The following is a 15832-nucleotide window of genomic DNA, read 5'->3' as shown; positions in this document are numbered from 1 at the left end:
CAATGAATACTGAAATTTGTAAAGAGGGAGGAAGTTGAAGTAGAAGGGGTAGACTGAGAGCAAGATACCAACATCCTCATTATGTTTGGCAACAAGGAGGGGTAGAGTGTGTACTGTACAAAAGTTCATGGATTTCAACTGAGGAAGAGGTTTTGCAAAATTGCTTCAAAAATGAGGGGGAAGCCATGCCTGGCTAATTTTATATTTTTAGTAGAGACGGGGTTTCTCCATATTGGTCAGGCTGGTCTCGAACTTGTGACCTCAGGTGATCCGCCCGCCTCAGCCTCCCAAAGTGCCTGTAATCCCAGCTGCTGGGGAGGCTAAGGCAGGAGAATTGCTTGAACCAGGGAGGTGGAGGTTGCGGTGAGCCAAGATCGAGCCATTGCACTCCAGCCTGGGCAACAAGAGTGAAACTCCATCTCAAAAACAAAACAAAACAAAACAAAACAAAACAAAACAAAACAAAACAAGAACTGGAAGCAATAAAGGAGAGCTGGAAAAGAAAATTAAGAAAAGTAGAGTTATAAGGGAGTTACAATTGTGTGATAATATGTCTGAAGTAATAAGGGTCTAAATTGATTGCATAAATTTACATATTCATGGATAAACATAATATGAAAAAATGTTAAACCTTTTGAATCACCATTATGACAACTTAGGTAACTATAATAGTTACACTGGACTTGGTCATATTTATATTTTTGTGTATATACACACACACACACACACACACACACACACGTATGAATATATATAAAATTTTAAAATACTATTTTTGGGCATCCTTATTTTTATCTTATGAATAAAGAAATCTGAAATTTTGAGTTATTAGTTTTGTTGTTTTGTTTTTTTGAGACGACGTCTCGCTCTGTCACCCAGGCTGGAGTGCTGTGGCGCGATCTTGGCTCACTGCAAGCTCCGCCTCCCGGGTTCATACCATTCTCCTGCCTTAGCCTCCCGAGTAGCTGGGACTACAGGTGCCTGCCACGACGCCCAGCTAATTTTTTTTTTTTTTTAATTTTTAGTAGAGACGGGGTTTCACTGCGTTAGCCAGGATGGTCTCCATCTCCTGACCTTGTGACCCGCCCGCCTCAGCCTCCTAAAGTGCTGAGATTACAGGTGTGAGCCACCGCGCCCGGCCTTGAGTTATTAATTTTTCAAAGTCACACCTGACATTGGAGTCCACCTCACTCCAAAACATAATGCAAAAAACAAGCAAAAAAGTAAGTTTAAAATTATTTAACAACAAATAGAGACAATATACTCTGTGCTGAAACTCTCACTTATTTTTCACATATTGACCCAGATTTAAAACTGCGCTCTGAATTTTATTATTGGTATCTCTGGTGTGACTCAGTGTGTATTTAAAGATATCGTATCCTGTTATTGATTTTATAGAAAGAACATTTGGTTGTTATCTATGTATGATGGTATTGCATATGCTCCACATCAATCAGAGTCACATCTTAGAGGAGAGGTTTCGGATTTTAAAATATGTATTTGTTATAAATTGGGGAGACTAAAAATTAAAAATCCATGCAATTGCTCTTAAGTATGGCACCCATTGGAATTTTCATCAGTCACTGTTTAAATTACTAGTATTCAACTGAACATACTTGAGGAAGAGGGGAGATTTGAAAAATATGCTAATGATCCTGGCAATCATCTTTGATGAATATCTCCTGAAATAAGATCTCTAAGATCCCAAAGACTATCATATTCATTCAAAGAAATAAAAATTAGAGTCCTTACTGTATAACATACATATGACAATAGGGTTTTATTTTTTTTAATTCCAGTAGACAAGATTTTTAAAAAAACTTTTATCTCATTCTTGACTATTTTCTGCAAATATTAAGGCATTTATATGAAAAATCATAAAAGAAAATAGTTATTTCTGAGTTAAATTGTCTAGTTCCACACCCAAACTTTTGCATTAAGTGATAATTTGTTTCAGGAAAGGCACATTTAACAGAACACTTTAATATTTTAAGATGGAATATGACTATTTTGTAGTTATCATAATTTAATATATTAGGAATATTGCAAAGTGAAATTACCTGCTTACTGAAATTGGAAGTTAATCAGTCAGAACTGTGTAAAGTAGCTTAATATACCAAGCAATCACTGTGGTGATTTTATGGTAACCACCTTTTCTTTTCCAAATGTGATAGTGTTGTTATACAGTATTTATTTTAAATATAAGGGCTTAGAATCTTACAGTGCAAAATTGAATGAAAGAAGTCAGACAGAAAATAGAACATATTTTATGATTCAGTCAATGTAAAGTTTTAAAAATAGGCATAACTAATCAACAATGTTAGATTAGGAAAGTGGTTTTCCTTAAGAAGGTCTCAGATTGTGACTCCAAGTGCATGAAGTGCATTCTGGAATATGGGTAATTTTTTTTTTTCAAGAGATAAGAGTTTCACTATATTGTGCAGGCTGGTTTCAAGCTCCTGGGCTCAGGTGATCCTCCAGCCTTAGCCTCCCAAAGTGTTGGTATTACAGGCATGAGTCACCATGCCTGGCTTGTTTTGTTTCTTGATGTAAATGCTGGTCATGTAGATGTGTGTATTTTGCAAAATTTTAATGAGCTTTACATTTATAATTTGTACACTTTTTGCATGTTTGTTATTCCTTTATAAAGTTTACATTAATAATAAAAAGTTTGTTTCATAGAAATATCCATGTTAATAAGAAGATAGAGAATAATATGTAACCAAATCTGACTGATCTGACATTAGGCCCAAATTTGCTCATTCTATGTGGAAGAAATGTCTTGGATACCTTGACTCAGACTTTGACTTATTTTAGCTGGGAATATGCCTTTTTCTATCTTATGCTATCCTTTGTTGAGTGATTATAAACCTGTGGTTCAAAGTTTAAGTACAAAAAATTTTGATACTGTTTTTCTTTCTTTGTTCATTTTCTTTTTCCTTTAAGTGAGAATGTGACCTAACATTGATAACTAATTACTATTACTCTAATACCAAAACTGAGCTCTGCCATGCTGTAAGCCATATAAACTATCTAAAGTGATTAGCCGGTAGTTTGAGCTTGTCCTCTTCTAAAGATAATTTTAGGTTTGGCACAGTGGCTCATGTCTGTAATCCCAGCACTTTGGTAGGCCAAGATGGGAGGATTGCTTCAGTCAAGGAGTTCGAGACCAGCCCAGGCAACATAGCGAGACCCTGTGTCTACAAAGAATTAGCCAGGCGTAGTGGAGTGCCTATAGTCCCAGCTACTCAGAGGCTGACATGTGAGGCTAGCTTGAACCTGGGAGACTAAGGTTCAGTGAGCCGAGTTTATGCCATGGCACTCCAGCCTGGGTGACAGAGAAAAAAATAAAGAAAAGAGAATATTAACTCCCTAGAAAATTCATGAAACAGCTGATCCTGAAGTGAAATTATCTGTGTTGAGTAGTTTAAATTACCTTTTCTAACAAGTAGATATGATTATCTGGAAACGTTTTAAATGGTTCACAATATATATAGAATTTGAAGCTAAATCAAGTTGATGCTGTATTTAATACACATTTGCTATGATTTACTATTTTAATCATTTGTGTCTCAACTTTACTACTTATTATGTAGTCTTTCATTATGTAACTTAAATTAAAATTAGATTGAATTGAAATTTCAGTTTCTTTGTCACATCAACCACTTTTCATTTGTCATATTTGGCTAGTACCTACTGCATAAGACAGAGCTGGTTAAGAACATTTCTATCATTTCAGAAAATTTTATTGAATATCACTAATTTATATAAGTAAAACAATATATTCCTCAGTTTTTTATATTGTTATTAGATAAGACTATTTTTGTATGATGTTATTTTGTGTGATTGTATTTTGTATTTTGTATGATTCTTAGCAATTCTTAGTAATGGCAGATCATAAATGCATACTCATACTTAATAATAATAGCATAGGTAAAAATAAGAATAATCGGATAATAAAAATAATAATCATTGTTATAACAAATGAAAATGTATAACTTACATATCTAGTATCATGAATAAGGTATATATAGTCTTTTATCAAGCCTCTAAAACTCTCCTATCTACCATTTATTTTCCAAGTATTTCACTATGAAATGGTTCTGAAATAGACATTCTAAAAAATTACCCCTAATTAGACACCATAAAGCCAGCCCAATATATGATTCTCATAGCTGTATTTAAAAACAAATGAAAAAAATCTAAACAATGTGTTAGTCCTTTTTAATTCTAAATGGTAGGAAACTTTAATATGTGGATCATAAGTACCTATCACCAGGAACAAATATGTTTAATCGGGATACAGGATGATTAAAAAGGAAGTCGGATAGTATTCTAACTCTAATTAGAGAATTATGTTATGGCATTAATTAATTAGAATATTTTTATGCATCTCTAAATTTGTTATAACTCAACTTTATTTTATTTCATTCGAGATATTTTACTACGTTCTTTTATATTTATCCTCCTTAGGCTATATACTACATCAAAAATACCATCACACTGTATGCCTATTACAGCAAGACAAACATTAGGTAAACAACCAATCCCATCTTTCAACCAATTTGGATCAGCACACACAGTTGAACTCAACAAACCTGTAAACCAAAAGTCTTGATTCATTGACTCTGTTAGTGTCTATGTCTGTTTATTTTTTAAAATCTATTTTTAAAATTGACAAATAATAATAGTACTTACTTATTGGGTACATAGATGTTTCTATATGTATAATGCATAGCAATCAAATCAGGGTAATTAGCATATCTGTCATCTCAAACAGTTATCACTTCTTTGTGTTGGGAAAATTCGATATCCTTCTTCTAGCTATTTGGAACTATATACTATTGTTAACTGTAGTTATTCTACAGTGGTATAGAGCACTAGAACATATTCTCCCTATCTAGGACATTATGTTACATGAAATAAGCCAGGAACAGAAAGTTAAATGCCACATACATGTTCTTATTCATATGTGGAATCTAAAAAAAAGGTGATCTCATAAAAATAAAGTGTAGAATACAAGATACTGGAGGCTGGTAAGGGTAAAAGGAAAGGAGGGGTAGGGAGAAATTTGTTAAAGGGTACAGAATTATACCTATGTCCCTTTTATTCATACTTCAGCAGTTATTATCATTCTAATAGCAACCATTCGAAACTGTGGACACAAAGTCTATTAATCTACATAACTATATCCAGAAAAAACAGACATTTAGGAGGGCTTTATTGTGTTATTATTACATAAGAAACCTCATTCTTACAAACAAAAGTAAGCCATTTCATAAGGGTTATCTTTTCCTGCTTAATTATAATCTCTTTTTTTTTCCCCTCCGTCTAGGCTACTGATAAAGATACTGGCAATTATAGTGTCATGGCCTACAGACTCATAATACCACCAATTAAAGAGGGAAAAGAAGGATTTGTAGTGGAAACATATACAGGGCTTATCAAAACTGCTATGCTCTTCCATAATATGAGGAGATCCTACTTCAAGTTTCAAGTTATTGCAACTGACGACTATGGGAAGGGACTGAGCGGCAAAGCCGATGTACTCGTAAGTAGATAAAACTTCAGGAAAGGGAAGTAGCTACGATACTAGCCATAGGTCAGTGTTTTCAGTTTATAGAACTTCTAAGATTAATTTAAAACGGGTTTTCAAAAACATAATTATTATTTTCACTCAGATTGTTAGTCACTATAGTTTAGGAATATGTAAATATATTGTTCATATATATATATATATATATATTTACAAAAACACCGTAAGGTGTTTATTTTTCTTGACCTTTGAGAAAAACATTATAATATTTGAAAAAATATGATTGTAACAGCAAAGGTATAAGCACTGGATTTCTATTTTGTCTTCAAAGCTCATGTTTAATATAGGGTGTCCAGTGCTACATAAAAATTTTAAATGCTTCACAGAGTTATACTATAGAAATTAAACTATGAAATTATTTGTTTAAATTACTTTCAGCATTTTGTAATTGAGAAAACAAAGAAAATGTTTGGGGACAAATTTTGTTCCAATAGTATTTATTTCTTTGTTCTATCAAAATTCCCAATGATGACATTGTTTAGCCTTGACTAAGTTATATTTGGCTATAGTCAATAATATCACTGTTCTAATTTTCACTTAGGCAGTGCAGAAGTTTAGTGATAGATCATTTGAAAGGGAAGTTTGATATTAGCTTGTATTGAAAATATTTAACACCAGTGCATATATCCTGTGGACTCTTTACCAACTTGAAAGCATGGGTTATTTGGAGTTTTGTCTGATGAATCTAATACAAAGTATATTCATTAGAAATATTTGTCACATAAAAACAGATCAAGAATAAGTTGTCTTTTGTTCTTTACATCATAAATTTTCATTTTTTCGCAGTTCTTCTCATTTAGTTCCCTGGACAAGCGTAACCTTCATATACATGCAGACATCAATGCTTTATTTTTCTTCTTAGATAATGGTGAAGAACAATCACCATGATTGTGGCCAAAACAGTCCTCCAGGAGCATTCTCATTTTTAACAGTAAAGCTGCAATAGAGTAAATGAAGGCCACTCTAAGCCAAGAAGCTTTTGACATAGGAGATATTAAGTTTGACATAAATTTTTGATCAAATTAAGATCGGTAAACACTTTTTATTAGATTCCACATATGAATAAGAACATGTGGTGTTTAACTTTCTGTTCTTGGCTTACCTTGCCATTACCTTTATAACCTCCATTTCAAACCTCCCACTCTTTGTCCATAACATTTAATTAACATTGCAGCTAAACCCATCATTCTTTTGTTCCTACCAGGATGTCCAGTCCAATTAGCCGAATAATTTTAACTTCCATTGTGTTCTCTCATGAGAACCTCTCATGTTCTCTTTCTTGTTTACTGGATTTATAATGCATTACCAATTATAATAAGCAGTACATCATATAAAATTTAACTTTCTTGCTTTCTTTCTCTATGTCATATTCACTTAGCAAAACCTCCACTTTGGTTAATTCCAACTGTCTCCTTTCTCCAGACCTATATCCATGCTGATTATGTCTGCAAAAACATACAAAATTCTATAATTAGTATCGTTGTTGTTGTTGCTAAGAAACAAGGTCTGGTTCTATCACCCAGGTCAAAGTGCAGTGGTGTAATCAAAGCTTATTGCAACCTCAAAATCCTGGGCTCAAGCAATCCTCCCACCTCAGCCACCCTAGCACCTAGGACTGCAAGCACTCACCACCATGCCTAGCTATAGTATTGTTACATGACGGCTTTGAGTGTGAATTGTCCATGTCGTTGGTGTTTTGAACAAAGAATTGAACAAAACACACAAATTAACACAGGAACGAAACAAAGGAACAAAGCAAGGAAAGTGGGCATTTATTTATTTATTTATTTATTATTTTATTATTATTATTTTTGAGACGGACTCTCCCTCTGACTCCCAGGCTGGAGTGCAGTGGTGCGATCCTGGCTCACTGCAACACTGCAACCTCGGAAAGCAGGGATTTATTAAAGCAAGAAAGCTCTCCACAAGTTGGGAGTGGACTCAAGCAAGTGACTCAAGGGCCTGGTTACAAAGTTTTCTGGGTTTTAATACTCCTTTTGAGGTCCCTGTGGGCTACCCCTTATCTGGATGAAGGATTTGGCCTGAGGCTAAAGGCTGAGCTGAATTGACCCAAGGCCTGAGTGGATTGATGCCCTAAGCAAATGAAAGGATGGCCCCTGCTTGGCCCACAGCCACTCCAAGGCACTTTCCCTTTCCATCTGAGACATGGGGGAAGGGGGAAGGTTTTAGGGAGAGTAGCCTTTGATCCTTTGTTACTCAGGTGGGGTGTGGGGAGATGGTATTTTTGTTTGTTTGTTTGTTTAGCTTTAGGAAGTTGGCATTAATTGGTTTATGTTCCCTGCCCCCAGACCCAGGAGTTTCCTGTTTAATCCACCATTAGAAAACTATCATGAATTGGCCTTAGATTCCCTGACCCCAGACCTTGGTGTTTTCCCTTTGATTTAGCTTTAGGAAGTCAGCACAAATTGGCCTTAGGTTCCCTGCCTCCAGACCCTGTTCTCCTGCATCAGTATCAATTTAAATTAATGACTAAAACAAACCCTCCAAATGAGCTTTTGCTTTGGTCAGTAATCACTCTATTTTGCCTCGATGTCCTAGAAAATCTTCTCTGCTCCTGAATCTCCAATACCTTGTCCTCATTCTCACTATGGCCTGATTAACTGGCATGCTATTTCACAGAAAAATAATACTAAAGCATTTAGAAGGACACTTCTATGACTCCTGCCACTAAATTTACCTACCCTCCAGGATCTAGACCAACATTCTTTGCCTTCTTTCTGGCTCCTTTAGATGAATTCTGTTTTTATCTAAAGCCTGTACCTCTACTTATGCAGTAGATTCAATTCCCACTCGCCAGCTCTAGGAGATTGCCTCAGCAGCTCTCCCATTTCTTTTCTACATTATTAATATAAATTTCCTCCTTATATCAGATTATTCTCACAACAATGCTTTTTTTCTATCTTCCAAAAATTATAAAACATCCCTTGATCTATATCACCTTCTAGCTGCCATCCATTTTTCTATTCTTCTTTTTAGCAAAATTCTATGTTAGATTTGACTTATTTCTCACTATTGAACCCTCTCTTAAACCCTCTCTTAAACCCTCTAATCATAAGAGTGTTTTCTCTCCAAACACTCTTCCAAACTATTCTTGTCGATGCTACCAATGACTTCCATGTTAGGAAATGTACTGATGATGCCAGTCCTTATCTTACTTGAACCATCAGCAATGCTTGACTATTACCCTCACTATGCTTTCAGACCACCCACCATACTCCCTTGTCCTACTATCTCACTGTTTACTCCTTCTCAGTCTCCTTCACTGGTTCATTTTCTTCTCCTGACCTTGTAGTATTGAGGTTTCTCAGGGCTCAGACATTAAATCTCTTTTCTATCTGCACTCACTGACTTGTTAAGCTCACTTAGTCCCATAACTTTAAAATATCATCTACATAGTAAAAGCGCTCATACTTACATCTTTACACTAAAGATCATTCCTGAACACCAGATTTGCATATTTATCTGTACATGTAGCAATTCCACCCGAATATTTTTAAAAGGTGTTTATTTAGTGTTTCCTAATGGATTTCTCTTCTTCATCACATTTCTTCCACCTGTAGTCTTCCTCATTTTATTTGATGACCAAATCACTTTGAGTTCCTTAGGCAAAAAATTTCTTGACTCCTTTCTCTCCTAAACCTCACATTCATTCCCTTAGTAAATACTGTATATCTATCTAGGCAGCTAGCTAACCTATCAACGAAAGTGTCCTAAACACCTTTTCATTATTTTGTTGATGAAATGAGAAGTATGCATAGAGTACATCTGCTGTATGTGGAAGATGGTTGCCTCAAGGAAAAGCACTATGCAAGCTGAACAAGCTGCTTTTTTTATGGACTAACATTTTTATATGAAAGAGCAACTTAGAGACAAAATATGGTTATTCAAACTTAAATATTTGGTAGGCATTTACACAAAATGGATGAAGGGAGCCTGTCATTTCATTGAAAACAACCAACTAATGATAATACTGAAGCTTTGAAGCACAAATTAGAATATTAAAAAAATGTACCTGTCACTGTAAACTTGACTAGCTTCCGAATATTTAGACTTTCTTGATGAGTCAGTGGTTGTATTAAATAATGTGATTTATTTATTGATATTGTGTAATGAAGTGTGTTGATATTTACAATATCTGCAGTGTTCAGTAAACTTGTATTTTCCAAGTGGCCAATGCAGGATGTTAAAAAATTATGCACGTGTAAAAAATCAATTCAAAGTACAATGGCCGGGTGTGTTGGCTCAGCCTGTAATCCCAGCACTTTGGGAGGCTCAGGCAGGCAAATCACCTGAAGTCACCAGTTCAAGACCAGCCTGGCCAACATGGTGAAACCTCGTCTCTATTAAAAATTCAAAATTAGCCAGGTGTGGTGATGGGCACCTGTAATCCCAGATACTCGGGAGAATGAGGCAGGAGAATTGCTTGAACCCAGGAGGCAGAGGTTTCTGTGAGCTGAGATCACGCCATTTGCATTCTAGCCTGGGCAACAAGAGCAAAACTCCATCGCAAAAAAGAAAAAAAAAGTACAAGACAGACAAATAGATTGTAGTATAACTGAACATGGTTTCAGATTTCATGTGGAAACTAAATTTTGGTATAGTATTTAAAAAAGAAAATACATAATTATCTAAATGGACTATTAAAACACCTCTTTTATTTAATAAAATGTGAGTTTGCAGCAGAGACCAGTTAGTTAGTTAGGAAAGACAGTTCAAGCAGGAGATGATGAATATCTCTAAAGTTGGGTTGTCCAATATGCTAGCTATCAGCCAAATGTAGCTATTGAATATTTGCAACATGGCTAGGTCACACGGAGATGTACTATAAGTATAAAATACACACCAGATTTCAAAGACTTTGATAAAAATATGTAAAATGTTCTTTACATGTTAAAATGATATTTTACTAAACATATATTAAACATATTGGGTTAAATGTGTTATTGAATTAATCTTATTATTTTTATCTTTCTAATGTGGGTGCCAGAAAATTTAAAATTACATATGTGATTTGTATTCGTGGCTCACATTGTATTTCTATTGGACAGCACTATTTAAAATTTATGAGAGTATAGAGGAAGAAAGAAAAGAAACTTATGAGAATAAATGGAAAGGACATAGAAATAGTAACATGTAAATTTCCAACCATTGCTTTTTTAATTTTGTGCTTCACAAATGTTATTTCTCTTCTTTTTAACAATACCTAGTAATTTGAATCCATTACAAATATCAATCTCAATGATGATGGAAACATATTTATAAAGCTTTCATTAGTTATTAAGCTACAGAATTAAATAATTTCACAGAGAATTATTAAATATTTGGTGTAATAAACTGACATGCAAATTTCTGGAAATATTTGCATATTTGCAGAAGCTATACTGGAAAAGTAGCATAAATAAAATCTACTAATCTTAAACAGCTAAATATCCTTGTTATAGATGATAAAACAAACCAGAGTTAGGATGTAGAATTTCTGTCAAAGACCAAATGTAAACTGTAATATCTTATTTCTTCATTTGCATAGTCAAAATGTGTGTGTTCTACATAAACCAGACATTAGCACATTCAGGAGATTTAAAAATTTTAAAGTAATGATTTAGAGGTAAGTGTGGGACAACTACTCCCGGTAGTGCGACTTCTGTTAATTTATCAGAATTAAATGTTTTTTATTTTTATATCCTTAAAATAAAATATAAAAGTATATTTTCAAAATGTATTAACATCATAAAATCTTGTTAATAAAATGTAACCTTAAAATGGATATATTCTAGATACCTTAAATGTTAGCTCCTACTATTTCAGTCAGAATTTTGCACAAAATCTCACTTTTTTTTTTTTTTTTTTTTTTGAGACAGAGTCTCTCGCCCAGACTGGAGTGCAGTGGCGTGATATTGACTCTCTGCAACCTCTGCCTCCCAGGTTCAAGCAATTCTCGTGCCTCAACCTCCAGAGTAGCTGGAATTACAGGCATGCACCACCATGCCTGGCTATTTTTTGTATTTTTAGTAGAGACAGGGTTTCACCATGTTGGCCAGGCTGCTCTCAAACTCTTGGCCTCAATTGATCAGCCTGCCTCAGTCTCCCAAAATGCTGTGATTACAGGTGTGAGGCACTACGCCTGGCTTAAAGTATTTTGAATAAGTAACCTATCTTTCTGATGAAGAGAAAGCAGTGACTATCCTTCAAATTTAAGAACATTCATTCCTTCCCTTCCACTAAGTTTACGTTGGTCAGAACTCCATCATATGGCTCCACTAAACTACAAAGAAGGCTGAGAAATCGACTGTGTGTTCCCAGTGGGAAGACAGAAAGAGCTGGATGAACAGCTAACCAGTCTATACTTCTGATTACCAAATATTTATTTCATTATTTTCCACACAAATAGAACAAAGTCTTATCAAAGTTAACACCTGGATCTCAGATGTCATGCTGTTCTTTTTATCAGGTCTAGAGGGAACTTCTGATGTTTTAGTGATCCAGCAAACACATTCACCCAGTATAGATGATGGAAAAATACAGAATATCCACTAGAAATTCCTATTTGAAGAGGACAGTAATGGTAGACATATGGAATTGTCCAGGCCAATTCTGAAATCCTGTTGGGTATATATAATGTAGATCCCCATCCCGGGAGCAGGAGATTTCCTTGATTAAATCCTGTTTCTACCCTAAGATAGGAAGGCTTATGTTTGGTCTTCCTCTGAGGCTGCTGAATCTATCCTCCACTAGTTACTACTTAGTTCCTTTCCCACTTTTGTTTTTGTTCACATCATATATCATATTTGTAAAGTGTGACCGATTTCTGGTATATACAGCCTGACACCTGATTGTATGGTTTTTCGGATCTATATCAGTAAGGACCTGGCAGAAAATTCATGCACATGTGAAACATTTTTTTTTTTAATTTTAAGTCTCCGCTGCAAGAGTCAGATAATTTGAAGACAGTTTAATGAAGGGTCTATTTTTGAAGGCCTGGGCAGGATGAATGTAGGGAAATAAGAGACAGTGGAAAATTCAAGGGATACTAATAGTACGGATCTGTAACAGTCTGTCAGCCAGAAAAGGTGGGTTGAAGCACATGCTTACCAGACCAGGAGACAGACATGTGAGAAGAGGACAGTTTGACAGGGCAGACAGTCCTAACAATTCTCCACTGAAAGAACCAGTAATAAAGAGTTATTTCTCCTACTCATTTTCTTCTCTTTTCCAGTATCCTGCTAATGTTCCCTACTACTCACCCTATCCATAACCCACATCATGGTCCAGGAGCTTTCTCCCAACAGATGGTGGAATTAGGAAGTGCTTCAGCACTAGTCCCACTGCAAAAGCTCCTCTGTCCTGAGGCCAGGACTCCAGTACTTCTGAGTCCAGCAGTTAGAGGAGATGATGGGAGCTTCAGGGAACAGAGAATGAGGCCTAGTGATTATACTTCTCGTTGGGATAACACCCTATAGTTACTACTTGTTCCGGGTGGTTTGATTTTTATCAAAACTTTTTTTTAACCGTTTCTGGCCCAATGTTAAAAGAAAGAAAAAAAGGAGGAGAGGGAAGGAAGAAAGAAGGAAGGAAGGAGGGGAGGGAGGGAGGGAACAGTTATGCAAGTTTCATATACATACTTCTAGAAATTTTTATCATGTAATTTTACTGCTAAAAACTCAAAAACAATAAAACAAAAAATATTTCTATTCAACTTCTATATCCTCTTTAACTCAAGACCAATAAGAAAAGACAAAGTGATACAAAAACTGTAATGATCCCTTTCGCTAGTTCGCTAGTGAAGTAGCTAGTGTTTTGTAAAAAGATAATCAAGACTCATTTACATGTTGAAGGGAAATTTAGTCATTTGGTCCCAGACACCTATGACGGGTTAGGGGTACAAGGTTAGAACTGCCAGCATAAACTGCTTGCTCAGAAGTAATAATCAGACCTACTCCTGTCTTAATACAGTCTTCAGACATGATTGATCATGCTCACACAATGGTTTGATAGATTTCTAACTAGTTGCAAACATTTTACAAAATATTTTGGATTTCTTTTTTTCCTGAAAAACTGAAATATCTAGGAAATCTGGATTTTGTTTCCCACACTGCAATATTCCTTAGAGGTGAGTAGTAGCTGACCTCTTCAGCAGAGTTATGTGCTCTTGGATTTGTTACTTACACTTCTTTCTATCATTTCATACTTTTGGCTACTTTTCTCATTTAAGTTACCTGCCTGGTTCCTGAAGGCATTTGAGTTTGTGACCCCTAATGGGGTCTCTATATGTAAAGAATCTGGAGCCTATAAAAACATGTGTGGCAATGTGAAATTACTCCCTACTGTAGATTGTATTGAGATACGGTGCTAAATATGCCTAACTCAGAGTGTTCAATTTATGATTCTGGTACAAATGCATTTATATTTTAATAGTGTATAAATGTATGTGCATGATAATATATGGCTTTTTAGAATTTTTATATCAGTATTGGATAATAGTAAAGAGCACAAGCTCTGGTGTAAGGCAGACTGCATTTAATTAGGATTAAGTTATTAAATATATCCTCAATTTATTTTTTTTGTTTTAAAATCGAAATGATATTAATAACAACCTGATTCTGTTGATAGATTTCAATGAGTTAAACCTGTAGAATATTGAGGAAAAGATGAAATGCCATGTTGTAAGCACAGAATAAATATTTTTATTTTTCTTCTATTTTTCAAATATAAGAACATAGAAGAAATTCAGTAGATTTTAAATGAATGATACATAGTTATCAACAGCCATTAAATTAGCTCATTTAACCCATATGTAAAGTTCTAAATATATACCTCTACCTACACAAATTTAAAGTTGGTTAAATAGACAAGAAAACTATATGTGATGACCTCATAGAATGAATTATTCTAACCAGTCATATCTCAGATTCTTAGTTATAATGAATAAATGATTTCTCAAGACTTGTAAAATATAAAACGTATTTTTCATTATCTTGGGTGTTCCTTAACAATCAAATTAAAAAAAAATGCCACCCTTCATGTCTCAGTAAATAACCAATAAAACAAACACATAACCAAAAACAATTGAAATCACTCAGGATTCTTAATTTCTAGGTAAACAACAAATAGTTTCTCATGCTCAGTCTGCCCCAGTTAGTCTCCAACCCCTTGTGTAGATCATATAATTAAAAATGTATATATATTTGTTCCTGAATTTGAAAATCAGAAACCACTGTGTCTATGCATAGTAGGGAAGAGGTAATGTGGGGGTTTTCTGATTATGGAAATTTCAGTGAGTAAAAATTAAATGAATTCTGTTTTTTCTTCTTTCAGGTCTCCGTGGTCAATCAGCTGGATATGCAAGTCATTGTTTCCAATGTGCCTCCTACTCTAGTGGAAAAAAAGATAGAAGATCTTACAGAGTAATTGATTTTGTCTCCTTATATATTTATTTTTATATGACCATGATTTTTAACTGTATTTTTTAAATTTTATTTTAGATTCAGGGGATACATGTGCAGGTGTGTTACATGGATATATTGCATATTGGTGAGGTTTAGGCTTCGAGTGTGCCAACCACCCAAATAGTGAGCACTGTAGCCAATAGCTAATTTGTCAGCCCTCATGCCCCTCCCATCCTCCCTCCTTTTGGAGCCCTCAGTGTCTATTATTTTCTTTCTTTATGTCTGCATGTACCCATTGTTGACTCTCATTTATAAATAATAACATGCAGTATTTGAACAACCACAATTTTAATCTGAGTGGGTCATTTTAATCATTACAATGTTCAGATTAAACATATAGTTTAAGAGTGTTTTAATAATAATTTAGCTTACTGTTTTCTCAAAGTCTAATTGGAAATATGTGAAGATTTTGAGAGTGTCTTCAAATAAGGATAAAAATTAGATGTGAGATTTTATTATTCAGAATGCTTTGATGTATCAGAACCTCAAAATGCTGCATATGAGAAATCATAACATTCATGGATTGAATATATACCTTGATTTTGTGGCTCCAATTTACTCAAAAAGCAGTCTGGCCAGTCCAGGAAATATGTCATTTCTCAAAGCAATGTGTCTAAATGCCTAGAGCTTAGTCTTTTAAAACCAAGTTGACTAATATTAAGCAATATATATGTTTTAAATTATTGTAAAATATGTGGCATGTCCCTCTGCCTCCTTAACAGTGTAGACTCACCATGGCTGAGTATGTTATAGTTAACTCCAATCTAGTTGT

The 15832-nt window shown here is 34.7% G+C and overlaps 1 protein-coding gene across 19 annotated transcripts in view, besides 1 other annotated feature; it reads left to right on the top strand.

The window, feature by feature from the left end:
• Positions 1-15832, top strand: part of PCDH15 (protocadherin related 15) — a 1825172-nt gene that overhangs the window by 1755750 nt on the left and 53590 nt on the right. For all 19 annotated transcript variants that reach the window (XM_047425663.1, NM_001354420.2, NM_001354429.2 and 16 more), the window contains 2 exons: positions 5336-5551; positions 14930-15018. In XM_047425663.1, the coding sequence (XP_047281619.1) occupies positions 5336-5551; positions 14930-15018 (305 nt within the window). The remainder of the gene's footprint in view (positions 1-5335; positions 5552-14929; positions 15019-15832) is intronic.
• Positions 11473-11687: a silencer, noted in NCBI's record as "fragment chr10:55620266-55620480 (GRCh37/hg19 assembly coordinates)". NCBI's record gives its function as "represses an EF-1alpha promoter that drives an FKBP-Casp9 reporter gene in an ReSE screen in HepG2 liver carcinoma cells {active_cell/tissue: HepG2}" and the evidence as "EXISTENCE:reporter gene assay evidence [ECO:0000049][PMID:32094911]".

This window comes from Homo sapiens, chromosome 10 (assembly GCF_000001405.40).
Source record: "Homo sapiens chromosome 10, GRCh38.p14 Primary Assembly".
NCBI classification, from domain to species: domain Eukaryota; kingdom Metazoa; phylum Chordata; class Mammalia; order Primates; family Hominidae; genus Homo; species Homo sapiens.
The sequence above is the reverse complement of the archived record's forward strand: the minus strand, read 5'-3'. Positions and strand labels throughout refer to the sequence as shown.